Below are 26,941 nucleotides of genomic sequence, written 5' to 3'. Positions count from 1 at the left end.
CCCGCCCTCTAGCCACGCCCTCTGGCCCCTGCCTCTAGCCCCGCCTCTCGCCTCGCCGCCTCGCCGTCCCGCCGCCTTGCCGCCCTGCCACCCTGCCGCCCTGCCGCCCTGCCGCCCTGCCGCCCTGCCGCCGGTGGTCGCTGCCCGTGGTGCTCCGTCGCCCCCGCCACCTCACGTCCTCCCGTGCGTCGGGAGCGTCTCGGCTACAACATGTTGGGCATGATCAAGAACTCGCTGTTCGGAAGCGTAGAGACGTGGCCTTGGCAGGTCCTAAGCAAAGGGGACAAGGTAGGCCCGCAGGGCTGCCGAGGACCTGAAGGATTGCTGCCTCCCACCCCCACCCTCGTCGGGGCTGCAGCGGGTGCTGAGGGGCAGGTGGGGCAGGAATGTGCTATCGAAGGTGCGTTCTGGTGTCTGTCGCGAGTGCGGCTCTCCACCGCCCAGCATTTGGACTGGGAAGGAAAGGAGTGAGAGGTCCCCCTGCAGCCGGTGGTGAGAGGAGGGGGGTAAACAGGAGAGACTGATCCAAGGAGAGAATCCCAACTTGGGGAGTTGGGCACTGCCTGTTGAATGCATTCTTTCGTTTAAAATATTCCAAACATTCCGAACAGTTTGATTTGTTGAGAGACACTCGGTTGCAGAAATGAGTGTCGCAAGAAACTCCCAAGTACTAGAGAACTGCGGATAGTAGCCCCCTTTATCCGCGATTTCAGTTACCTGTGGTCAGCTCTTGTCCATAACTATTAAATGGAAAATTCCAGAAATACAGAAGTCCTAAGTTTTAAGTTTCCGGCCATTCTGCGTAGCAGGATGAAATCTTGATTCCTGGGACCGGAATGCCCCTTTGTCCAAGGTCAGCCTCCTATCTCTAGTAGCCGCCCTTAGTCACTTAGTAGCTAGCTTGGTGATCGGATCGACCGTGGCGGTATTGAAGTAACCCTTATTTTACTTAGTAATGGCCCCAAAGTGCAAGCTTAGCAATGCTGGCATATTGTTATAATTGCTGTTATTTTATTATTGTTGTTCATCTCTTACTGTGCCTAATTGATAAAGTTAAACTATATCATAGGTATGTATGTATAGGAAAAAACGTAGTAGATACAGGGTTCAGTTTTGTCCACCGTTTCAGGTATCCACTGGGGGGCTTGGAAGGTATCTACTATAGATAAGGGGGACTACTGTGTAAAAGAACAAGATCTGTGCAGAATAGATATAAATGCGCTACGCAGGGAGCACAGAGGCAGTCAATTCTGCCAGGGGGCTATGATGGGGACCTCAGTGGAGTGTCCTGAGCTGGGGCCTCAGGGATGTGTAGGAGTGCACACAACAGAGAAGAGCATGCACAAAGGCCCAGAGCTGTACCATTGCTTTTGGCCAGTTAGATCCTCTGGAGTTGGGTACCTAGAATACAGAATGAGTGAGAAGAGCATAATTGCTGTCTTCCCCCAAATTTATATCAGTGCTAACATGGGCTAACTGGACTGCACCCCTGAAAACAAGGAGAGTGCTGCTAGATTATAATCTCCTGGTGGACAGGTAGTTTAAACAGTGCAGCTGTATACAGAGCTCCCAATACGATGCCTCATTTGTGAAAGGACTGTATTGCCTGGGGGCCAAGTTCTGATACCTAGTACAATGATCTTCATATCACGAAAGCCCTCAATTAGACTCTAATCTGAACTCTTTGACAACCAAAGACCTTTCACCTGTTCTTATCTCCGTTTCCCCAGCTCTATGTAGAATGAACAGTTTAGCCCTGATCAGAGGTCCCACATTTGAATACCTGCAGCAACCAGGCAGGTAATGGAAATGGATGAAGCTGGCTGTTTTAGGCTATAAGGCATAGTGGGGACTGAGGCAAATCAGAGAGTGAACTCAGGTCCCCATCTCTAAACGGCAGTTCCAGCCACTTGTTGCTATGCAGTGATATATGAAACAGTGTTGCCAAATTCTTAAGGAAAACCATACATCCAGATTCTTAGCGAAATCACCCAATTTAAAAATAATTCGACAAAAACTGTTTTTTGAGTGCTATGTGCCAGGCACTCTTCTAGGCAATGGGATAAAAGATTAAAACCAGCAAAATTCTCTGCCCTCATGGAACTTATGTTTTATTGGCTAATGAACAAATAAAATGTATCATGGATCAGATAGTGATCAGTGCTGTGAAGAAAAGCAAGCAGGGGAGTGAGGAATAGGGAGTATTAGGAGTGAGGCTGTGATTTTGAGTAGGGAAACTGACATAGTTGTGCATAGGCTGGACACAAATGCAATAAGGATGCCAGTTATTAATATCAGTCCTGCTGTGAGCATCCAAAGGACCCACCCAAGCCAACACAGAGAGCTGTCTATCCGCCTCCCTGGGCAATGAAAAAGGCACCTGATAAGGTCTGCAGCATCACTGGCCTCCCCATCAAGTAGTTGCCCTACTCAGAACCACAGCCTTTCTCCTAACAGCCCTGATGAAGGTTCCTGTGATTCTAACACTTTAAGAATCCATGTGTTCTTGCTTTTGTCATGGAATGGGGCTCACTTTGTCTTTTTGGATTAATGATGATGGCCCACACAGGCGGAGAGGGGTCTGGGCTGGTTCGTGGCCTGTGCCCTCAGATTCCTTCCTCACCCATTCCCTGCTCTGCTGTCTTCCTGTGGAGTGGAAGCTGACCCATTCGGCCTGTTTCCCAGGCCAGATGTCAGCCGGCGCCCAGCTACGTTTGCTCAGTGGGAGTCTCTACTGGGAGATAAAAAGGGAGAAACCAGAGTATTTCTCCTCCTTCTCCACCCCATCAGATCCATACTACTAGGAGCTTCTCTGTGGCTTTGGCTTCCGCTACACAGGCCACCATGATTCTAGCTTCTACCCAGTAACCTAGGTATCTGAACTTAGGTAACAGGTAATTCTCCCTCTGTGTCTCCTAGGGTGCTTACTAACCTCTAGGTTGCCTCTCTGTCCCCTGCTGGCATCTCAGCCCCTCTGTTATCTGTGCAACCAATCCCTTGCATCGAAGTGCTTCTGCTCTAAATACTCTAGTAGTTTCTGTTTCCTGTTTGACTCTTATTGATACAGTGTCACTTGCCGTTAATTTGGGGCCTCTGGGATAAGGAGAACTCCCTAATAAGCATCTTCTCTCAGTGTTTGATGGGAATATGGGGCCATATGGGATATTGGTACCAGGCTAAAGCAAATCATTTAACCCAAATGAACCTGTTTCTACAGCTATAAAATGAGTATAAAAATATCTTTTCCATCTATTTCCAGAGTTACTATAAGTATTAAATTCTTTAAAACCATGAAAACATTTTGTAAAGTAGTATACATACCCTACAAATATAGTAATAGCATTATATCAGTGCTCATCTCAGCTTCATTCTTTCTAGCTGTGTGGTCACAGGCCAACTTAGCCCCTCTGAAGCTAATTGTGGAAGAAAATAATAGTTCATATATTAATAGATTGTTTTGAAGTTCAAATGAGATAACCAATTATAAAACTGTTCAATGTTAGTACTTGGTTGGAGATGGTAATGGTTAGCTTTACTGTAGTTTTACAGTAAAGTTTGGGTAAATTACTTAACATCCCGTGAGCCCTTGAATTCCTCAACTCTAAGATGAGAATAACAATGCCAATGTGAAATTAATTAATTATGCATAGATACTTGTAAACCTTTTTTTTTTTAAATATACAAACATAAAGGTATTATTTTTGAAGAGAACCTCTCCCTGAAATTATATTTTATCCTGGAAACAGCCTGGGTCAGAAACTATTGTCCACTCTCCTGGGCAAATGATGGCATACCATATTCCCCACATAGCATGGGCTTCAGGCTCACCAGATGTTGGGGACTGATTCCAAGTACTTGGCAGGGAGGCCAGTGCTGCCGCAGACCTTATCAGGTGCCTTCTTAATTGCTCAGGGAGGGAGGAGGGTAGACAGCTCTCTGTGTTGGATTGGGTGGGCCTTTGGATGCTCACAGCAGAACTGATATTAGTAACTGACATCCTTAATCAGATTTGTGTCCGGCCTGTGCACACAGGTTAGGACCTGATAGCCTGGCTTTGAGTCCTGGCTCCACTATTCACCCGCTGCAGTTTGGGCATGTTACTTAACCTCTTGTTCCCCAGTTTCATCTGAAAATGAAGATTAAAGCCCTAACTTCTTCACAGGGTTATTGGAGAAATTGAATGAATGAATCCACGTAAAGCATTTAAAATAACACCAGACAAATAGAAAGTACTCTGTTAGGTTAATTGTTATGATCAGTATTTTCTTGTAATGAGAAAGCAGGTTTCCAACATTAGCATGTATACCCACTACATGAAGTGGCAAGAAAAAAACTGACCTTTCAAAGGACTTACAAATCCCATAGCCAGAGGCATTCTTGTTAAACCTTTGTCTGGGACTTGAACTTGACCAAGGTTCCCACTGAATGTTGAAAATTGGTTTTTGTAGCCACAGGCCAAAATCTCCATCTAGGAACTGATTGGGAGCATAGACTAATGGAGATGGGGTGAAGGAGGGCTACTATTGTGTTCCATGTCACAAGCAAATGCACTAAAGATGTTAAATTTTAAGAATCAAGACTGTATTAACTTAGCTGCCTTATTCTCTACAGCAGTAGAGAATTCTGGTTAAATACATTTAAATAGAGCTCCCTGGAGAACTAGAATAGTTTTACAAATCCATCTCTTAAGCCTGAATTTTCACAGTGGTCCCGTGGTTCAAATGAGTGGTTATGGATACAGATGCTATGAAAACAAGTGATCCCTGCACTAGAACTGGTTTAATACATTGTGGCCCAGCTTTTCTCCAGGAGATCCTATTAGACGAGGTCCTCATCTCTCTGCCCATCTATTATGGCTCTTGTATTCCTTGTCATTAGAGTAAAACTAGGTTTTACTCTGCATATCTCCTTTCTCACAAATATTTGTAGAGTGCCTACAATATGCAAGGCGTGGTACATCTAGGTACAGAGAGATACAGCGGTGAACAAGAGAAACAGTCCTTACCCTGTGGGGCTTGTGGGTGGAGGTGGGAGTTTAACACATCATTTAATTGTAATTACAATAAGTATTGTGTTATGAAGGTACAGCGTGGGTAAGAATATCACAGGGAACCTATTTTAAGTCAGGATCCTCTCTGAGGAAGTAACTTTTAGGTTGGAGCCTGTTAGATGAATAGGGAGACACCAGGCAAAGGCAGGAGGAGAATGCTCCAGGGAGAGGGAGCAGCAGACACAGAGGCCCTGGCGTGGAAATGACCATGGCATCAAAGGAAACAGCAGAAAGCTGCAGAGCAGGTGCTGTGAGTGTGGCTGGCAACGTAGGTAGAAGCTCAGTGGTGCCTGCATCATCAAGGGCAGGTTAAGAACTTGATGAATGAATGCCTTTAGGCAGCAGATTAATTAACACAGTTAGATTGGTGTAGAGTGCCCTATATATGCTCTCTGGACAATCCCAACCTCATTCACAGCTCTAGTCTCCCCTTATGCTAATGACTCCCAAATTTACGCCTCTATGCCAGTCCCCTGCTGAGCTCCAGACCTGTGTGCCCAACTACCCAATGGACAGTTTGCTCATCTGTATCAGGAGGAGATGAACTGATGGACACATGAGACCCCTTCCAGCTCTAGAGTTATCTGACTTTAGGGGTTCCTAGAAAGGAGGGATCACTCAGGAGGAGGAGGTGGTGAAGTTGAGCCAAGCCTTGAAGGATGATAGGTGTATCATGGGGGACTTGGCTCTCCAAGTCAAGCTGGAGTCCCTTCTTGGCAGCCTTTCTTTCCTTGCTGTGGACTTTGTGCCTGGAGAACAGGCCAAGAGCACAGGTTGCTCGTGCCATTTTATAGATCTCTTTTCTGCTGCAGAGACCCTCCATTCAAGACCCAGACATACTTGCAAAATCCTATGTTTAGGTCACAAATGTCAGTTGAACTAATTTAGAGTAGATGAACTGGCTTGCTATCAAATCACCATCACTGGACTAATGGTTACAAAATCCAACTCCCACAACAGCCTCTGAGTTCTTCTGAGATCTGGCCCCTGCCAGAACACCTTTTTTGTGTCCTGCTTGACAGTCTTTGCTCCAGCCACAACTATTTGTAATATTTGTACTCACAGTCATCATACTGTTCTTGACCCCTCCTCGTTTACTCTTATGGTACCCACTACCTGGAATATCCTCCCCAAATGATCAGAGCATTTACTGCATTGTACAATAATTTGTGTAATACTCCTCACCATCCTCCTGATTATCCCTATCATATTAATCTCCAAATCTGTACCACCTGGCAAAGGTTTTCGACAATGTTTATTCCATGAATTAATAAAGTAGTGACTGAACGTCCGGTTGGGTGATCTGTGACCACCTCAAAGTCAGCTTGACCTCCCCAAACATGTTATCACATACACCCATGCCCCATAAACTAACCTAAGTGGTCCTTTCCTGTGTTCCCATACTGCCCTGGCACTCCTTGCCCCCTAAAAATATCATTAGATGATAACATTCTGTTTTCCTGGCATCTTCCCTTATAGCACCTGTAACAATGTTCAGCACATGGTAGATACTCAGTAGTTGTTGGTTAAATGAATAAAAGAAGAAAAAGACCAAAGGAAAGAGCCAGTTAGCTCTTTCTCCAGTGAGATCTTGTTTTTGGTCTTCCCATTTGTAAAAGAAGTAACTGCGTAAAATGACTTCTGATACCTCTATTCTGAATTTGATATGGGCATACAACTGTCCGCCCAAAGTATCTAACACAGTGGCTAAAGAGAGAGGTTACAGACTGGGCAACATTGCAAGACCCCATCTGAAAGAGAGAGAGAGAGAGAGAGAGAGAGAGAGAGGAAAAGAAAAAAAAAAAAAGCAAAGACACTTTGGAAGGCTGACATAGGTGGATCGCATGAGCTCAGAAGTTTGAGACCAGCTTGGGCAACGTGGTGAAACCCTGTCTCTACAAAAGAAGACAGAGAAAACAAAATACAAAAAAAATTAGCTGGGCATGGTGGCACACACCTGTAGTCCCAGCTACTTAGGAGGATGAGGTGGGAGGATCACGTGAGCCCAGGAGGCTGAAGTTACAGTGAGCCAAGATTGTACCACTGCACTCCAGCTTGAGCAACCATGAGACCCTGTAAGAAAGAGAAAGAAAGAGAGAGAGAGAGAGGAAGGAAGGAAGGAAGGAAGGGAGGGAGGGAGGGAGGGAGGGGGAAACGAAAGAAAAAAAGAAAGACAGAGAGAGGAAAGAAAGGAGGATAAAGAAAAGAAACAGAGGTTTAAATGCTCACTTCACCCCCCATAGCTTTAGAGAACCTTGCAACGAGTATTAGACTGGAGTAGACTAGAGTTTGGGAACTGGAATTTTTGTTTCAGTTTCACCATTCAGTAGTTACATCACTTTGAGCAACTTAGTCTCTCTGGTTCTTCATTTTCTCCTTGATAAAATTAGTTAGATTAGGTAAACTTTAAAACCATTTTAGGTTCTGAACTTCTGTGATTCACAGGATAGTGTTTCTGGAATTTAAAACATTACAAGTGCCAAGGGTAGGTGCGCTCTCAAATGAAAGGGGAGTTCTGGAATTCTCTGCAGCAACAGAAAGAGCAAAACACCCTAAGTTTACTTAACAGTTTGCTACTGAAGGCTCTTTGGAAGTGTCAGATTCACCAGATGGAGGGCTTCACAGCAGCCTCAGAATGATTCAGCACGGTGCCCCACAGTCAAGGCTGACTTGCTGCCTCATGATTCCTGGTCTGGCGCAATTTCCTCTACCCCATGTGAAGGGGGATTTAAGTACAAACTTGGCACTCAGGGTTAAAATTACAATATTAAGGCCGGGCACAGTGGCTCATACCTGTAATCCCAGCACTTTGGGAGGCCGAGGTGGGCAGAACACCTGAGGTCAGGAGTTCGAGACCAGTCTGTCCAATGTGGCAAAACCCCATCTCTACTAAAAACACAAAAATTAGCTGGGAGTGGTGGCGTTCGCCTGTAGTCTCAGCTACTTGTGAGGCTGAGGCAGAAGAATCACTTGAACCTGGGGGGTGAAGGTTGCTCTTAGCAGAGATCACACCACTGCACTCCAGCCCGGGTGACAGAGCAAGACTCTGTCTCAAAAATAAAATAAATATTAAATATGCTCATTGAGACTACACTTGCCACTCACAGCCGTACAGTCCTGCCTTCCTCCAGAGACACCTTCTGTCCCCCTGGGAGTCACACCCTCTTCCCTAGTTGTGAATCTTCAGTCTAGGATATTATATGAAAACCTATTTGACCAGTCTAGGGCAGCCAGGTTCCCTACCATGTGTCTGTTTTTCATAATCATTGTTAGGAGACACAGCACCTTAATCAAATAAATATCTGTTGCACTTCTCACATGTAAAGCTCTGTGGTATAGTTTCTGCCCATAAAGGCTTTATTGCAGATTGTTAAAACTATAATAATGTTTCATTACCAGATGGTAAAATTAACATAGACCAACTTTCCTTCTTCTAATGGGATGGAATAAAATTCACTCCAGTAGAGTAGAAGAGAAGAAAACAGGATAGGGGAAGGAACAAAAAAAAAGCCAGGATGCATCTCATCCATAAGGGTAAAGCATTACTTTGTGAAACTTTAACTATGTGTATATTCATGATAAGACAGGCTGTAAAAAATGCTTTCCTTCTTGTGGATTGTGATTTTTTTTCAAAATGTGAAGAACACTGCCTTACAGTATGTCCAGGAATACAAAATTAAATTATATGAGCAATCACGTGGCAAGGAGCAGGAGATGTACTGAAGGAGAGCTGTGGGGGTCCATAATGAGTAAACACCAGGGAAAGGATAGTCCAAGGACAGGGCCTCAATGCAGAAAGTGGTGATGGGGAGATGAAAGAAGGATTTGTGTGAAAAGAGACAGTGGAGCTGAGCATTAAGCAGATTGGGAGGCTGTGATTTAGTGAGACAAGAGTTAGGGAGAGGATATGCTGTGTCTGGGAGCACGGTGTGAACAGAGCTACAGTCAGCCCTTCCTGTCTGTGGGTTCTGGATCCACGATTCAACCAACCACAGATGGAAAATATTCAAAAAATAATAATAGCAATACAGCAATAAAAAATACATAAATCAACAGCAGAGGCCAGGCGTGGTGTAACTGCCCAGTGGGTTCACCTTGCCTGCTGCCTAGATAGAACCAATTTATCAAGACAGGGGAATTGTAATGGAGAAAGAGTAATTCATGCAGAGCCAGCTCTGCGGGAGACCAGAGGTTTGTTATTACTCAAATCAGTCTCCCTGAGCATTCAGGGATGAGAGTTTTTAAAGATAATTTGGCAGGTAGTGGCTTGGGGAGTGGGGAGTGCTGATTGGTCAGGTTGGAGATGGAATCATGGGGGGTGCCAAGTTAGGTTTTTCTTGCTGTCTTCTGTTCCTCGGTGCAATGGCAGAACTGGTTGGGCCAGATTACTGGTCTGAGTGGTGTCAGCTGATCCATCGAGTACAGGGTCTGGAAAATATCTCACGCACTGATCTTAGGTTTTACAATAGTGATGTTATCCCCAGGAGCAATTTGAGGAGGTTCAGACTCTTGGAGCCAGAGGCTGCATGACCTCTAAATTGTAATTTCTAATCTTGTAGCTAATTTGTTAGTCCTGCAAAGTCAGACTGGACCCCAGGCAAGAAGGGGGTCTTATTGGGAAAGGGCTGTTACCAATTTTCTTTCAGAGTCAAGCCACGAACTGAATTCCTTCCTACAATTAGTTCGGCCTAAGCCCAGGAATCCCACAAGGACAGCTTAAGGGTTAGAAACAAGATAGAGTCAATGAAGTCTGATTTCTTTCACTGTCATAATTTCCTCAGTTATAATTTTTGCAAAGGCAGTTTCAATTGTGGCTCATGCCTATAATGCCAACACTGGGAAGCCAAGACAGGAGGATTGCTTGAGCCCAGGAGTTTGAGACCAGCCTGTACAACATAGGGAGACTCTACCAAAAAAAAAAAAAAATTTTTTTTTTTAATTAGCAGGGCATGGTGGTATGCACCTGCGGTCCCACTTACTCAGGAAGCCTAAGTAGGAGGATCGCTTGAGCTCAGGAGGTCGAGGCTAGTGAGCCATGATCATACCACTGCACACCAGCCTGGGTGACAGAGTGAAACACTGTCTCAAAAATAAATAAATAAATAAAATACATGTGTGTGTGTTTGTGTGTGTGTGTGTGTGTGTGTGTGTGTGTGTGCACAGAGAGTAGCAACTATTTGCTTGGCTTTTACATTGTATTAAGTATTATAAGTAATGTAGAGATGATTTAAAGTATGTATGAGGATGTGTGTGGGTTATATGCAAAATACTACACCATTTTATATCAGGGACTTGAGCATCCATGGATTTTGGTATCCATAGAGGTCCTGGATCCAGTCCCCCAAGGAGGCCAAGGGAAAAATGAACTCTGATTCCTTGAATTGCAGTCCTCCTACTAGAATGAGCCTAATTTTGGGAGCTTCACAGTTTTGTTGGATTGTCATCGTTGTATTTTTTGTTTCCTCCCTTCTAAGTTTATCTGTATTTTTTTCTGAATCTCCTGTTTAACTTTATCTTCCAACCTGTTTACTGAATTTTTCTTCTCTGTTATCAGATTTTTAATTTCTGAGAGCTCTTTTGCTCTCTGAATGTTCCATTTTTGTAGCATTCTGGTTTTCAGGATGCAATATCTTCTCTTATCTCCCCAAGAATATAATGTATAAGATTTTCCTGCTTTGGATATTGTCTCTACAAGAATCCCAGAATCTATTTCTCATGGCCCTTCATACTCAGGCCTGTCCCTTCTGCTCTATGGCCATACCCACCAAGGAAAGTTTTTTAGCCCTCTGTTACTACTTCTAGAGACATCACAAGTTGCTACTTTGTACCTCTTAAACACTGTACCTTCTCTCTCTCTAGGAAGAAGTTGCCTATGAAGAAAGGGCCTGTGAAGGCGGCAAATTTGCCACAGTAGAAGTGACAGATAAGCCTGTGGATGAGGCTCTACGGGAAGCAATGCCCAAGGTCGCAAAGTATGCGGGGGGCACCAATGACAAGGGTGAGTACCCCTGCAGGATGTGGCTCTGGTCTCGGGGACCAGCTTTGCAAGGTCTCACTTCATCAGTGGTAAATGCAAGTGAGGGGCTACAAGGCACCTGTAGTGACCTGTTTCAATGACCTGTGAACCTCCTGCACTGTGTGAACAAGCAGTTTATTGCAGGAATGTGGGGAAACCACTCTGATATCAGCCCAGTCTGTCCCTCACTTGAAGGCATCCCTGCTCAATATCTCCAAGTTCCTGCTTCACTCCCAGGTGTGGGACCATAGGCTCTATTTTTTTTTTAACCCTGCAGTGCTTATTATGTCTTTGGATTGGTTGACTAGGTGGCGTGTGCCCACAGTAAGCTGAGCTACAGCACAACGCAAGGCCAGCATCAGGCTGGAGATCCCCAGAGTCAGCCCCTGGTAGCTCAGATTCTGCTGGGTCCTGAGGCTCAGTGAGCAGTGAGGTTCCAGACCCTGTCTGGCAAATGAAGGGTCTGAGAATTCTTGGGCCATCCTGCTCTTAAAAACTTGGCAGTTCATGCTGGCCACCTCTCTACTTTTAAAATGATAAGCCTGAAGTCTCATGAAAGGTGTACCTGTTAGATGTAAACCATATTTAAAAATGAGTTTGACTCGTGAGAAGCCCTCTAATTTGGGTAGCATTTTGGAATCACTGCAAAACAAAAATGGGTCAGAAAGCAAGAGGAAAAAAAAGAGATGTGTTTAATTTTTAGGATATTTCTCAAGCTGATAATTTAGAGAGCTAAAAACGTGTGTTAGCCTTAGTAACATTTACTAGGAGCTGCTCTGTCTATTGAGTAACCATTCTTTTATTCCTTTACTTACTTAAAAAACTTGCTTTAAAAAAAAAATTTACTAGGACTAAAGTAGTCAGGCTTTGGAAGATACGTTAACCTGTAGGAGGTCAGGAAGAAATCTTTTCCTTCTTAACACTGTCTTAACATTTTTTTAAATGAAAATATGTATGAGAATTATAAAACTCACTAAAGAAAACCTTTAAAATAACAAAACAGTATTCCCTAATTCCCCCATTCAATACAATCAATGTTGTCTTTTGAATGTATTTTTTAGGGCTTTTTAATGTAATCTTAGTGTTCCTATAATTACATATCCTGCTTCTGTTAGTTATTATTTCATAATTATTTTCCACTAGTACCAGAGTCTTCTTAAGCATAATTCCTAGCTACATTATATTGTATCATGTGTCTGTAATTTACACAGACATATTCCTGTTTTGAACAGAATTTATAATTCTGCTGTAATGAATATCTTACTACCTATAGCCTTTTCCATATTTTAGATTGATGTTTTAAATAGGCAGTAATTAAATACTGGCTAGGCATGGTGGCTCACACCTGTAATCCCAGCACTTTGGGAGGCCAAGATGGGCAAATCACTTGAGGTAGGAGTTTAAGACGAGCCTGGCCAACATGGCAAAACCCCATCTCTACTAAAAATACAAAAATAAGCTGGGTGTGGTGGCGCACACCTGTAATCCCATCTACTCAGAAGGCTGAGGCACAAGAATCGCTTGAACCCAGGAACCCAGGAGGCAGAGTTTACAGTAAGCCGAGATCATGCCACTGCACTCCAGCCTGGGCAACAGAGCAAGACTGTCGGAAGAAAGAAAGAAAGAGAGAGAGAGAGAGAGAGAGAAAGAGAGAGAGAGAGAGAGAGAAAGAGACTGATAATCTACAGTCTTGATATATATTGCCAAATCATTTTTTAGAGTTGTACCACTATACTCCTACCAACAGCGTATACAAATAACAGGTGTTCATGTATTTCTGTATTTTTAACACTTGAAATGTTCATTGTTAATTTCAAGAACAAAAACATACCACTTTGAAAGACGAATGGAACTAATGTGTCTTCCACAGCCCTGAGCAAGCTCTGTCTCTGATCCCTGCCTCACTCTGTGCTTTTGTGTTTTCAGGAATTGGGATGGGGATGACAGTCCCTATTTCCTTTGCTGTGTTCCCCAATGAAGATGGCTCTCTGCAGAAGAAATTAAAAGTCTGGTTCCGGATTCCAAACCAATTTCAAAGCGACCCACCAGCTCCCAGTGACAAAAGCGTTAAGATTGAGGAACGGGAAGGCATCACTGTCTATTCCATGTAAGGAGACAATCCTTCAGGCATCCATGGGTGGCGCTTGATTCCCGTACCACTCCTTGCATCACCTCTGGCAAGCATTCGCGTCAAATTTTTATGGTTGCTGAATTAATTTAAGTAGGAAATGCTGAATCCTAACAGTTTCTCATTTTAATTTCTTCAGGCTGCAGCACACACACATTTGCATTTTATCAGAATAAATGCCTTGGCCAGTTGCCAAATTGATGGGACGAGCTTAAGCTTTGCTTAAGCTTACAGTGAATGTCTACATTAGCCATAGCAGGGTTCTAGGAGACTCAGCAAATATCTTAAGTCAAGCCATGGTCTGGATTCGTGGACACATGGGAAGCATAAAGGGCTGAGGAATACCTGATTTCTACCCCACACTCCCTTTGAATGCCAGAGAGCAGGGAGCATTTGCTAGAGCTGGGCTTCCATCCTCCTTGTTGTTCCTGGATGGTAGTCCTTTGAGCAGAGCACACATCTATTCTCTTGTCATCCTGGTCCTGTTTCCAGGACTTCATGTGGGGTCATTTTCCCTTGACTGTAGAGAATAGCAGGTGCAAATGGTTACTAGTTTCTATCCCTTGTGCTCCAAACTGCCCTCAGAAACCAAGTCTTCTAGATCATTGATGACTCCTCACATTTGTTAAAACACTCCCATGTGACAGGCACCAAACCAGGCTCAGGGAAAGACCAGGATCTTCACCAGAAGTAATCATAGGTGGTTTGGCTCCGCTCAGGAGCAACCTCATGAAAAATTCACATACATATAATATTGCACTGGACTGAGTATTGGTCCACTTCAGGGACCTCCAAACTTGGCTGCCCTGCTGCAACCCTGAACCTGATGGTGGGACCATTTTCCCCGGAGCTGTGTCAATGTTCTGAGAATGTGAGTTTCACCGCTGTGTGTAGTCCTAGGCCAGGTGACTGCAGGGCCCTCCAGAGGACAGTGAATGTAATGCAGCTGGGAGCTAGCACCGGAGCCTCAGCTCCTGTGCTTGTCCTGCAGTCCTCATTCAGACTTCCCAGCTTCCCTTCAGAGGGTGTGGAGAAAGCAAATTAACTTAACAATATCTTTTCCTAGGGTGGAGATGCACCTTGGGTGCAGCATTTAAGGAAGCACTCACTCTCACAGCTGTCCAAGTGCAGGATGGGGACTGAGAGTGAGCGCCTCCTTAAATCTTGTGCCCTGGGTTAGATGTCTGCTTGTCTTTTCCATTCTATTTCCTGTGTTTGGGAAGCAGCAGGTATAATAAAATGAACTTGTATTTTATTTGAATTCCAGCTCTACTGCTTACTAGCAGAATGATGCTTGGGAAGTTAGCCACTTTAAGACTTAGCTTTTGCATTTGTTAAGTGCTGATAATATAACCTCCTATATATGATGTGTGTGTGTGTGCATGTAATGTAACCTTATAGGATTATTGTTAAATATCTTTCAGTATTTACTAAGATACTATTTATGTATTACCTAATGTTTATGACCTGAAGCAGGTTTTGGCAATTACCCCTTCTGTCTGTTCATTCTTATTTCATAAGGAATGAGATAGACATGATTGAATCAGTTCACATTAAGACTTCAAGCAGATGGGGCTAGTTTCTGATCATTTGTTTTACCAGACCCTGAGTAATGAGTGGATATAATTTTTTTTTCTTTTGTCTTTAACTTTTTAGTATGGGAATTTTCAAACTTATAGAAAGGTAGAAGCATATAAGATCATGAAATCATATGTGCCCATCCCCTACCTACAGCAACGATCAGCTCAAGGCCAATTCTGTGTCATGTGTATCTTCACAGCATTCACCCAGCCCTACCCTGGATTATTTTTAGGCAAATTCCAGACATTATATTATTTCATTCATAAATATTTCAGGTAATTACTGAAGATTTTTTTAAAATATAATCACAATACCTTTTTTCTGAAATTTCAATAGTACTTCATTAATTTATAATATAAAATATTCAATGCTCAGATTTCCCCCATTACTTTTTTTTTTTTTCCAACGGAGTCTCTCTCTGTTGCCCAGGCTGGAGTGCAGTGGTGCGATCTTGGCTCACTGCAACCTCTGCTGCCTGGGTTCAAGCAATTCTCCTGCCTCAGCCTCCCAAGTAGCTGGGAGTACAGGAACCTGCCACTGTGCCTAATATTTGTAGTTTTTTAGTAGAGACAGGGTTTCACCATCTTGGCCAGGCTGGTCTTGAACTCCTGACCTTGTGATCCACCTGCCTCGGCCTCCCAAAGTGCTGGGATTACAGGCGTGAGCCACCACGCCTGGCCATCATTTGTTTTAATATTTTGTTAGAATCTGGATCCAAGTCAGATTTTGTAGTACTTTCTTTTTGTTGTTGTTGTTAAGAGACAAGGCCTTGCTCTGTTGCCCAGGCTGCAGTGCAGTGGTGTGATCATAGCTCACTGCAGCCTCAAACTCCTGGGCTCAGGTAATCCTCCCACCTCAGCCTCTCAAGTAGCTGGTACTACAGTTGCACACAACCACACCTGGCTGATGGTACATTTTTAAGCTTTTATTAATCTGTGAATTTCTTTACCAACACAACTTTACATTCTTCCTTTCCATCTGTGGATCATTTGTCTTCTTATTATCTGTACTGGATTTTGCTGATTATATTTCCGTGACATTTTACCACATCCCTCTGAGCCCCGTATTGCCTGTAAATTAGTAGTTGAAACTAAAGACTAGATCAGATTCAAGTTTTTGAAGTTTTGGTGAGAATATTTCCTACGTGGTGGTGTTTACTTCCTTCAGGGGCCCACAGTGTCTGATTGTCCCTGATTGAGTGATGTTGGTGACCATAGTTCATCATTGCCTAGATGTCTTGTTCCATTAGAGGCCATAAAACGATAATGTTCTCTGTTTCTCCTTCTTCTTTTATTACCTGCAATATTTCAGTAAAGAGAAACTTCCCCTCGTTTACTATTTGGCTTCCTTTATTTCATATAGAAAAAGCCAGATACATGCTTACTTGATACCTTCTCTTTATTTACCAGTTTTCAGAATGATAATTTCATTCTGTAACATCCTCAAGGTAAAGTGGTCTGCATCTTCGTTTTTTGAGTGTAATTATAAACATATGAATTTAAACATATTTGATACGTTTCAGTTTGTTACAGATATTATTCTTATTGATGCTCTAATTGCCCCACTGTTGGCCAGCGGGAGCCTCTTCAAGTTGGTTTGTTGGTCCTTTTGACACAGCTCCAGTAGTCGTTGATGGCTCCCTGGCTTGCTGGTATAATGAGATGTTTTGAGCACATCTTAGCATTTCTTGCCCTAGAGCTAGAATTAGCCATTTCTCTAAGGAACGCTGGTTTCTTATGGTGGGAAGGGGTATACGGGTACTATCAAAGGCAGGTCGGTGACCATTTCCTTTTAATTCTCTGAAATCTAAACAGCTGAAAGTGCCAAATGTGGTGTCTAGCCTGGCTCCATGGAATTTTTAACACGGAGTTCTCACACAGCATATGATCATTCCTCAACTCGCCACTTGATGTCACTGCATAGTCAAATGAGCATTCAAAATTACCCTGCAGTGGTTTGTGTTATTTCTGATTCTGTTGAAAGCAATGTTAATGAGATGGTAGAAGGCAAATGTACTACTTCAAATGCAAAAGTACTCTATCAAATAATGCAGTGAGTGCATTCAATGACAAAATTAATTCTAAAATGAAAGCCTGGCGTCCTTCATTCAGTCTTCCTTCTTTATGACCTTGTGAAGAGATGTTTACAAAGGGATTATACATTTATTAGCATCGTTAATTACCGGTGCTTTTAGATGAATAGAATGCTGTGAAAAAAAATAGCACTATCAGAATATGTTTAGTATTCACAAGAGGCAATAGAATTATCCTCACACTTAGACCAGCAGCAACATTCCAGACTACTGTCCTTTCTCTATGCACTTAAGTTAGAGTTTGGCCTTTTCAGCTCATTTCAGCACCAGGTTCTCAATAGGGACCAACAGCAGGAGAAGTTTGATGGTCTTAATGAAACTTTCACGGTTTAAATGAAATGTCTAGATATAAAGGAAAAAGTTGGAAACCAGGAGTTTATTTTCAGGGTAACCTATGCTCCAACCCAGTTCATCATTCAGTGGCCATAGGACCTTTGGTATATTGCCAGCCTCACTGTACCTCAGTTTCCTCATCTGTAAGATGGGCATGAGTACCTAGCTTTTATGGTGTTGTGAGGATAAAATATGATAATACCTGTAAATACCTACTCAATCCTAGACATGAGGTAGACACTCAGTAAATGTTAGCCTATTCTCCTCCTCCTAACTTCACCTCCCTTTGAGAATTTGATCAAGTTTTATTAGAATTAACAATAAAAAAGTCAAAGTTACTGCAGATACACTTGGGTTAGAACCTCAGCTCCAATAATTATGAATTTTGTAACTTGCAGCAAGTTGTTTAATCTTTCTGAGCCTCAGTTTTCTCATCTATAAAATAAGATTTCTAAGGCATGATTGCAAAGGCCGGTTTCATTGTGCATTTGAAAGAACTTTGTCAGCTGTCAGCACCTAGGTTGCTGATGTCATTTTTCCCTCTAAATGACCAGGCCCCAATGGAGGCCATTGGCAGCTTGGGAAGTTCCGCCTAGAGAAAGAGAAGTTTGGAAGAAAGAGCTCAACTGCTAAACTCTTAGGGGGTTCCCACATTACCACTTAGGAGATTTACAGACCAGTGTTTGCCCATGTTCCTAGATAATTCAACCCTGTTTGTAACCACAGGAAGTTGGGACCAAGGGTTTTCAGTCTTAGCACCCTGCTTTGCCCCCTCACTTTGATTAAAAGGGGCCTTGTCCAGCCGTTCTATTGAAAATAGCACCCTGTCCTTTTCTGTCCTCTTATCCAGCTTTATTTTGCTTTGCTTCACTTATAATCAATTGCATTATATATCTCTATCTGCTCATTTATTTATTGCCCTCTCCCCACTAGAATGCAAGCTTCCCAAGGGCAGGGCCTTTGGCTAGAATATAACAAGTGTTCAATAAGAAGCTGTTGAATTGGCCATCACAGTGGCTGACATCTGTAATTCTAGTACTTTGGGAGGCCAAGGCAGGTGGATCACCTGAGCTTAGGAGTTCGAGACCAGCCTGGGCAACATAATGAGACCCCGTCTCTAAATAAAAAACAAAAACAAGTTGGTGAATGGATACATGAACAAAAGAGCTTCATCCTTGCCTCTCCTGTGCTTCTCTCTCTCTGCTCTGTCCCATAAAGATCTTGGTCCCCATCATAGCTTCAGCTGTCACCAGTGTGTTGGTAACTTTCCAGCCTAACCTCTGTCTGTCTCCCCTGAATGTCTTGCCATCCCATCAGACTCAGCATGGAGCCTGAGACAATGTGATTTACCCACTCGTTCATTCCTTCATTCAAAAGATAGTGGATTTCTTGTTCACTTACTCTGTACCAGGAACTATTTTAGGTGTCTAACAGTAAAATGGACGTCATGAGGTAATGTCCTTGCCCCTGGAAGAATTCAAGTGCCATCTGGATAGATGGGTGACACTTATGCCATGTGACATTTGCACTAGGTGGGAAGTTTGGTTTGATTTGACAAACATTTATTAAATATCTCTAATATTTAAGCCACCTCATGTCCAAAAGCCTTGCCAATGATAAGATTCTGTGTCTCAGCCTAATTAATCACCATTTTCTCTCCCCCTGATAGCTGTCAGTTATCCCGTAAGTCTTTTATAAACTCCCACCAGGCAAGGGCTTCAGGCTGTTTCTCTGTAGATGATGCCCGGGTCAACACGTCTCATGCTGCCTTCTCTCCTAAGCACCAGCCTTATATTTCCAGCTCCCAGGAGGCATCACCACCTCAAGTATCTCCCAAATCAGCATGTCCAAAACACAACGCAGATTTCCACGCAAAATCAGATCCCTTTCTGTGTTCTCTGTCTTAGTGATGGTCCCCTCCCTCCTCCTACCCACCCTGTTCCAATGTCATTCTGACTCCTTCACTTCTGCATCTAATTATTGGCTCATCCTGGTCAGCTCCCAGCTGTCCCTTCCTTCCCTTCCATCTACACAGGTCTTCATCATCTCTTGCACAAATGATTGCCATGGTATTGGCTTCCAGCTCTCCCATTTCTGACCCTTCTAAAGTGTCCTTTTATCACCACCTGCCTAAGGCACAGGACTGATCACATCGCCTGTCTTTGCTCAGAAACTGAGCCTCCCCAGAGGCTGCTCAGCTCTGGTTGGGGGCCTCAGGCCCATCCAACCAGATGTTGGGGTTTGAACAAAAGCCCAGTTAGTAATGAGATGCTTCATTTCCACTAGGAGAGGGTGGATCAACTTTGGGTGCCAAATGTTTGACCAGGCAGTAAAGCCTAGTAAAAATGCCCTGTGATGGCACTGACCACCCTCCACACATAGCACCACTCCCATGTCAACCTGATCTCAGAGCGTCCCACCCACCACCACCCAACATGCCTCCCACCCCAGACACAACATCCACTTCCAGACCTTTGCTCATATGTCCCCAGCTCCTCTCAACCCTCCACAGCCTCTGTTTGTTGGAAGCTCTGTGAGGACAGAAGGTTGTCATACTATTCATTGCCAGCATCAAGAAGAGATATTGTATTTCCAAACAAGGTCACATACACAAAAAAAGTAGAGATGCTCAATAAATGCTTAATATCACCTCTTTCTTAATACCTTCCCTTCATGTTCTAAGTCAGAACCCATCATTCGCTATTCCTCACCCCCAGAACATTCTGGATGTACCTTCCACCTTCATTCCAGCATTTCCTTCCAGCCAGCATAATCTTTGCATGTGTTTCTCTCCTGACCACACTTAGAGCTCTCGAGGGTAGAAAGACATCTTTATCATCCTTACAGCTCTTATGGTGTCTGGCTTGCATTTTGTGCTCAGTGATGTTCAACTCAATAAGCACAGGTCCAGCCTGGTTGAATGAAACGCTTATTGTGTGAAGCCTCTCTTCCTGTTGCAGTGAGGCTGTCAGTTCCTGGTCTGATACTTCTTTTGCCTAGCACAGGGCTGCATGCATAGCAGACCGTACACCAGTGTGTGCTGATCCATTGATGTTAAAGTTTCGAAGTTGAATGGTCAAGCTCAGAGTCATTCTTCCTCCCTGCATGCCTGCACCAGACACTCCCTAAAAAATAACACATTATGATTTTTTGCTTCCTTGGACGAAAGCCCCACTTCCCTCCACTAGCCTTCACTATTGCTTGTGTCATCTTTCCCCTTTCTAACTCTTCCAGACCTTTTGAGTCAGCTCCTGTTGTGTTTCTGGAATCAGGGGTGTGTGTATGTTTGAGATTCCTCAGTTCCCATGGTAACCAAATTCTTTATTCAGAATACTGAGCTCTGACATTGGGTGAGATAAAACACTGCCCTGGAGGAGAGCTTCTTTCAAGATGAGGCGTTTATAGATAAAGACGTATTCACAGGCTTACAAAGATAATGTATAGACTTCACGTTTCTTTCTTTTAGGGGCTCAAAGCACTTTATGAGCATTTCTTAACTCACCTTCAAGTGCGCGCAGGAATTCGGAGAGCAGTGGGCCCACTGTTATTGTGCTCCATGTCCAGATTGGAAGCTGAGGCACGAACCAATGAGGCAAAGTGTCTGTGAACACAAGCAGAGTCAGCCAGAGCTAGGCTCCCTTCATACACCAGGGGATTCCGGGTAGGGTTCAGTTTCTGGCTTGTTTGTGCAGTTCTGTGATGGGAGTCAGTGTGGTTGGTTAAATTAGCAGAGAGGAGAACTCATGTATCTGTTCCCATAGCCCACCCAGTTTGTTTGTTTTCCAGTAAAAGGATTCTACGATGAAGCAATAGGGAAAATTTTATCTGCATTACCAGCATTTCAGTCTGCCTGGGAATAAATGTAAAGAATTGGGGGTTTTCCCGGAGTGAATTTTAGGACTCCCTGAGTGATGACATTCTCCATCTCACTCTCTGCTGGGTTTCCTTCTGCTTCTCAGCCCCTTCTCACTGTCCTTTGACCGGTCCTCTTTCTTCACCCACCATTTAGATATTAGGATTCTAAGGAGCAAGCTTCTGGCCTGCTGTTTGCACAACATCTCTACCACATGTCACTTCTTACCATGATTATAGCCAGTACCTACCCACTGGGCACTCCCAAGTTTCTGTCACTAGATCCTTCTCCTTCCCAAATTGGTATCTCTGACTCCAGTTCTGTCCCAAGTCTAAGGAGATTTTTACATGGTCAGACACACATTTAGATAATAATTGTTGCATGAATGTATTTCACAGAGGGCCCTTAATATTCATATGCCCCCCAAACTAAATCATGAACACCCCTACAGCTGCCCCTCCTGCCTAATGTTACTCTTCAGCCTTTAATCCCTATTCTGGTTAGCGGCATCTTCTTCTACCCAGAGGCTTAACTGGAAGCCCTGGAGAATCCTCTCTTCCTTCCTCTCTCTTACCTCCCTCCACATACAGGTACCTCTCAAATCTGCCTTTCTCCCACCTTCATCATCTCACACTTGGCTGTTCCTGGGCTCCGGTGGCCCCACATCTCTCAACCCCTTGCCATTTCCCCTGTCCCTCCACTGCCAGCAGAGGGATCCTTCCAAAGCACAATTGGATCGTGCCAGTCCTCTACTTTAAAACCCTTTCCAGGCCGGGCGTGGTGGCTCACACCTGTAATCCCAGCACTTTAGGAGGCTGAGGCGGGTGGATCACCTGAGGTCAGGAGTTTGAGACCAGCCTGGCCAATACGGCAAAACCCCATCTGTACTAAAAATACAAAAATTAGCTGGGCGTGTGCCTGTAGTCCCAGCTACTCGGGAAGCTAAGGCAGGAGAATCACTTGAACCTGGGAGGCAGAGGTTGCAATGAGCCGAGATTGCGCCACTGCACTTCAGCCTGGGTAATAGAGTGAGACTCTGTCTCAAAAAAAAAAAAAAAAAAAAAAAAAAAAACCCTTTCGTAGGTCTACCTGTGCATATAGGATGAGGTTCAAACTCTTTAGCATGGCATTCAAGGCCTTCGCATCTGGCTGCAGTGGATCCACTTCTCCTGTTTCAGTTCCCACCACTGTCCCCTCAGATGTTTATTATGTGAATGAGTGAGTGAAACTTATGTAACCACTTCACTCACTAGGTCCTAAGTGCTGTCATCTTTAGCTCTGTCAGGCTGAAGACATCACTTTCATTGTTTAGCCCAGAATTGTTCATTTAACCAAGGGGTCCAACATATTCAGGCACTGTGTTAGGTGCTCAGTGTACATCAGTGACCAAAAAATAACAAAAATCCTGCCATTGTGCAGCCTATATTCTATCAGAGGACACAAACCATAAACAATAAACTTAATGAGTAAATTATATAGTATGTTAAAAGGTGATAAGTGCTGTTAAAAAAGAAAGAAAGAAAAAGTAAAACATAGGAAGAAGATTGGGATGGGGTTAAAGAATGGGGTTTACAAGGTAACAAAGCATTTTAAGAATAGGCCTAATTGAGAAAGTGAGAATTGTTCATTGAGCCAGTTCATAATATTACTATGGTTTTTTTTAGTTGTATTTTGTGTTTTTGTTTTGGAGACAGGATCTCACTATGTTGTCCAGGCTGGAATGCAGTGGCTATTCACAGATGTGATCATAGCACAGTGCAGCCTCAACTCCTGGCCTTGATCAGTCCTCCTGCCTCAGCCTCCCAAGTAGCTGGGACCACAGGCATGCACCACAACACTCAGCTACATGGTATTTCGTTAGATTACCATCATGTCCCTCACCCTGGAGTCAGGGAATTAAAAGGCTCTTCTGAGCAAACTGCCAAGTAACAATAATAGCTACTGTTTGTTGTGAGCTTACTACGTGACAGGCTCTGCGCTGAGCAGTTTGCATAGTCTTTTCTCCTTTAATCTTTACAGTAGCCTTCGAAGATTGATGTTATCACTATCCCTATTTTACCAGTGAAAAACCTGAAGATTTGAGAAATTTTAGAATTAGCTTAAGACCTAGAAAGGGCAGCACTAGGATTTGAGCACACACTAGCCATTTTGCCTCTAACTGATGAAGGAAGACATTTGAGGAGCACTCCTTTGGAGCTTTCCAAAATCAGTATTTAAAGAGCCAACATTGTCCCTTTTCCTAGAGAACAGTTCAGTGTCACAGCACAAGTAGGGGGTGCAGAGAGCACTCAACACCTGCTTCCACCTCCAGCACTTGATTCATTTCAGACAAATGGTTCTCCAACTAAAGACATGGTTCATAAAAAACTCCAGTGTCTTACAGGCTCTTATTGCCTGAAAAAAGTCTTTCCTGGATGTTCATTGTCTGTCTACTAACCCAGTTTCCTCTCATTTGAACCTCAATGAAGCTAGAGCCCAACTTTCTTCATCTCCCTTATAATCTCTTCAATATATTTGAAGAATCAAGCCTCTGCTATTCAAAATTGGTCTCAGTTTCATCCATGTTCTGTAGCTGTTGTCTAGACATTGGAACAACCAATCCATTACAGAAAACATCCTGGGTGTTCACATCAGTGATGCTGCAATCCACATGCTGAATGCTTGTCCAGCATGACTAACCACTTGTAAAAGAGCAAAGCATGATTCAGAGGACTCCACCAAAAATAATGCATTATTTGGCCTAATCTTGGCCTGGTGCAAATTCAGACTTTTGAGTCATACAGCTCATTAGAAATCGGGATGTACTTGACTCTAATAAAAATTTTAGTGCAACCCAGATTTAGAGTGGTATATTTAGGCTAGGCTACAAGACAAATTTTGGAACAGAAGCACATGACGTAAGGGAGAGAATAATAATCTTGAAAAGAAAGGCTTTATTGCTTCTCTGTCCCCAATTTCTGCCATCAAAAGAAATACCAGATTTAGGAACAGTCTCTTTCCTTACTAGAAAAAGAAGGCTTTCATGATTTGAGCAGAAGAAAGGATTTATGAGAAGTGATTTCTTTATTTGGGGCATGTTTAAAGCTTGTGTGGGGCCCTCCCAAGTCTTCCTTGGGTCTTTGCCTTTGTTAGCTCTGAGATTTTTACTTTTTTAGTTTTGGTTTTTGGTTTGTTTTTTTTTTTTTTTTTTTTTTGACACAGGGTCTTGTGTTGCCCAGGCTAGCCTAGCTCTGTTTTTAAATGAAGCTGCTACAAGTCACTGCTGTGATGAACTCAGTCACTAGAGCTGCTCTGCTGTGGAAGGGGCATTAGCCACCATACTCACTGCAGCTCTGCCCGAAGTCCCCTGTAGACTTCCTCCTTCCAGAGGTGGTGACAGAGCAGCAGAAAAGAGGTACAGCCGGGCAGTAGAGGGAGCCAGAGAAAAGGGTGAAGGCTTGGCCTTTGGGAAAGCAAACCTGCTGTCCCCTTGGGTATTTCAGGAAAGAAAGGGAGGCTCACGTTTATACTCAGCTACTGTTTCAGGCCCCGCATTAGAGTTTTTCACGTCCATTACTGCTTTTAACACTCAAAACTCTAGAGGAAAAAGAAAATATATCTCCTTTTTCAGATGAGGAAACTGAGGCTCAGAGAGGTAAAATCAACCCATCTAGGAAGTGGTGACTCAGTCCCCAGTCTTACCACTCTAGCATGCTTGTCATAATAAACATGGTGAGTGACTTTTTTCTAAAGATCCCCCCTCTCTCAGAGGTCATGTCCTTTCGTAACCAGCCCTTGCTCTTGAACCCCCAGGCAGTTTGGTGGTTATGCCAAGGAAGCAGACTACGTAGCACAAGCCACCCGTCTGCGTGCTGCCCTGGAGGGCACAGCCACCTACCGGGGGGACATCTACTTCTGCACGGGTTATGACCCTCCCATGAAGCCCTACGGACGGCGCAATGAGATCTGGCTGTTGAAGACATGAGTGACCCACTGAACCAAGAACTTACTGGAAGTGTGCCTCTGTGTCTCCTTCCTCGGGGGTAAGGAGGGGACAGTGCTTCCCAAGTTCCAGCTGCAAGTCCAACTTAACCAACTTTCCTTCAAAGTCAGTTACTGCCAATTTTCTGAAAAAAGCATGTTCCATATACTAAGTCTCTTTTCTCACAGTAGGAAATAATACAGCCAAGATATGCAGCATCCTTCTCATTGATGTAGAAAATTCTGCGATAGACCAGAAAAATCCTGGCAGCTTTTCTCCAGGCATCTGGGTCACTAAAAACTGATTTTCTAAAATTATTGGATTTGTATTTTGTTATTAAGGGGGAAAATGTGATTTGTGCCTGATCTTTCATCTGTGATTCTTATAAGAGCTTTGTCTTCAGAAAAACTAAAAATAAAAGGCATTGACTTAAACAGCTGAGACAAATCATAAGTGTAATTATTTCCAAGGTTCTACAGTCCTGAAGGTAATATAGGTATGAGTACTATTGATGGTGTTTACCATTGCAGGAACCCTATATTTAGAGCTCCCAAGTCCTTCCGAATATAAACGCAAAGATACCAGGACACACACCATCCCTAAACTAGACATTTCCCATGACTGTTATGTAGCACTCTGTGATTATAAGTTGAGGATTTTGTTTGCAGCTGTGGTCTGCGAAGGGTTCCAGGAGTCACAAGAGCAGACCAAGAAGAAAAATCATTGCACTATGGTGCACAGACTACCCTGGAGACAGGAGATTTTCCAGGAGGATTGGTTTAGGGGGATGAGATGAGAAGCAGCTGGGGTCCAGTTTCATTAACTGAAGAGGATAGGAAGGAAAGAAAAGGTGCAGTTTGGCCTGCAGAGAAGGACACAGATGCAAGGCTGTGAGCAGGAAGCCGGATGGCAGCTGAGCTGGAGCAGAGCCCGTGAGTGAGCAGGGGAGGATGAAGCTCTCAGTGGGCCCCAGGGCATGTAGGAGGTACTCTGATCCTCATAGTGCATCAGGGCCCCACGCTCTCAGCAGCCCTCCCTACGACAGCTGGACAGGTTTTCAGGGAGAAACCCACCTTAGCACCCACCCACACCCCATTTGCTGTTTCTATAGGAAACAGAAAAATGAGCTTTAATCCTCACCATGAAGAGTTCTTACTGGACATAAAGTGGGGTTTCCTAAGGAGAGGAACAAGAGCTATATGTCATCATCTTTCCTGGAGTCCTTTCAGCAGTCTTCTGAGGGATGGGCCATGACCATTTCTGAAGATCCAGGGTGAAAACCGTCAGCCACCCAGCCTTGACTATCAGACACCATGCCAAGCACTTTGCATGCACTGCCCCACTTATTCCATGGGCAACTCTGTGAGAAAGGTACTGCTGTTCCCACACACAGGTGAGGAAGCTGAGGATTCCACAGGCTCCCACACTTGAGAAGCCTTGGAGCCAAGACAAAAGTGCAGCCACACAGGCCTTATTACATGTCAAGGAGTTTAAGTTTTGTTTTAAGAAAACTGAAAAGTGCATGGGCAGCTTTGAGCAGGAACGTGATACTGTCATGTTTTAGAAAGAAAGTTCTGTCTACAGTATGGAAAATAAACTGAAAAAAGGATATGACTGGAGACAGAGAGACCAGTCACAAGACTAAGAGAAAGATGATGGAGGTCAAAACTAGATCATGGCAGTGGGGATGGAGAGAAGTAGACAGTTTGGAGCAAGAGAAGAGGTTAACAGGACTTGGTGGCTGACTGGTGAATGAGATAAGGAAAAGGTTTGAAGAGGAGCAGAGCATTGCTCCAAACTATGCCACTGTGGCAAATTGGTTATTTTGAGCTGAAGGCAATGGAGAAATGGCAGATACAGGAAGTGCTGTCTGCCCTCCCCTTTTCTACCTAAAAGCAGTATGTAAATTTCCCCTGAGAAAGGTGCT

At 43.8% G+C, this 26,941-nt stretch overlaps 1 protein-coding gene and 1 long non-coding RNA gene across 8 annotated transcripts in view, besides 1 other annotated feature; one reads left to right on the top strand and one right to left on the bottom strand.

The window, feature by feature from the left end:
- Nucleotides 1–26,941, bottom strand: part of GPRC5D-AS1 (GPRC5D and HEBP1 antisense RNA 1) — a 94,773-nt gene that overhangs the window by 22,174 nt on the left and 45,658 nt on the right. For 2 of the 7 annotated variants that reach the window (NR_149063.1, NR_149064.1), the window contains 2 exons: nucleotides 20,703–20,894; nucleotides 19,763–20,325 (listed from right to left, as the gene is read on the bottom strand). This is a non-coding gene — a long non-coding RNA (GPRC5D and HEBP1 antisense RNA 1). Of the gene's footprint in view, nucleotides 1–15,682; nucleotides 16,982–19,762; nucleotides 20,326–20,436; nucleotides 20,489–20,702; nucleotides 20,895–21,303; nucleotides 21,385–26,941 lie in introns of those variants that run through there. The other 5 variants (NR_038920.1, NR_149065.1, NR_149062.1 and 2 more) reach the window with 5 other exon arrangements.
- Nucleotides 46–195: a silencer, noted in NCBI's record as "silent region_4269". NCBI's record gives its function as "represses an Ori minimal core promoter by ATAC-STARR-seq in GM12878 lymphoblastoid cells {active_cell/tissue: GM12878}" and the evidence as "EXISTENCE:reporter gene assay evidence [ECO:0000049][PMID:35858748]".
- Nucleotides 60–25,455, top strand: HEBP1 (heme binding protein 1). The gene is made up of 4 exons (NM_015987.5): nucleotides 60–288; nucleotides 10,910–11,048; nucleotides 12,993–13,173; nucleotides 24,846–25,455. Exons 1-4 carry the CDS (start codon nucleotides 211–213, stop codon nucleotides 25,015–25,017), a joined length of 570 nt encoding a protein of 189 aa, NP_057071.2. The 5' UTR covers nucleotides 60–210; the 3' UTR covers nucleotides 25,018–25,455.

This window comes from Homo sapiens, chromosome 12 (genome assembly GCF_000001405.40).
Source record: "Homo sapiens chromosome 12, GRCh38.p14 Primary Assembly".
Classification (NCBI taxonomy): Eukaryota; Metazoa; Chordata; class Mammalia; order Primates; family Hominidae; genus Homo; species Homo sapiens.
The sequence above is the reverse complement of the archived record's forward strand: the minus strand, read 5'-3'. Positions and strand labels throughout refer to the sequence as shown.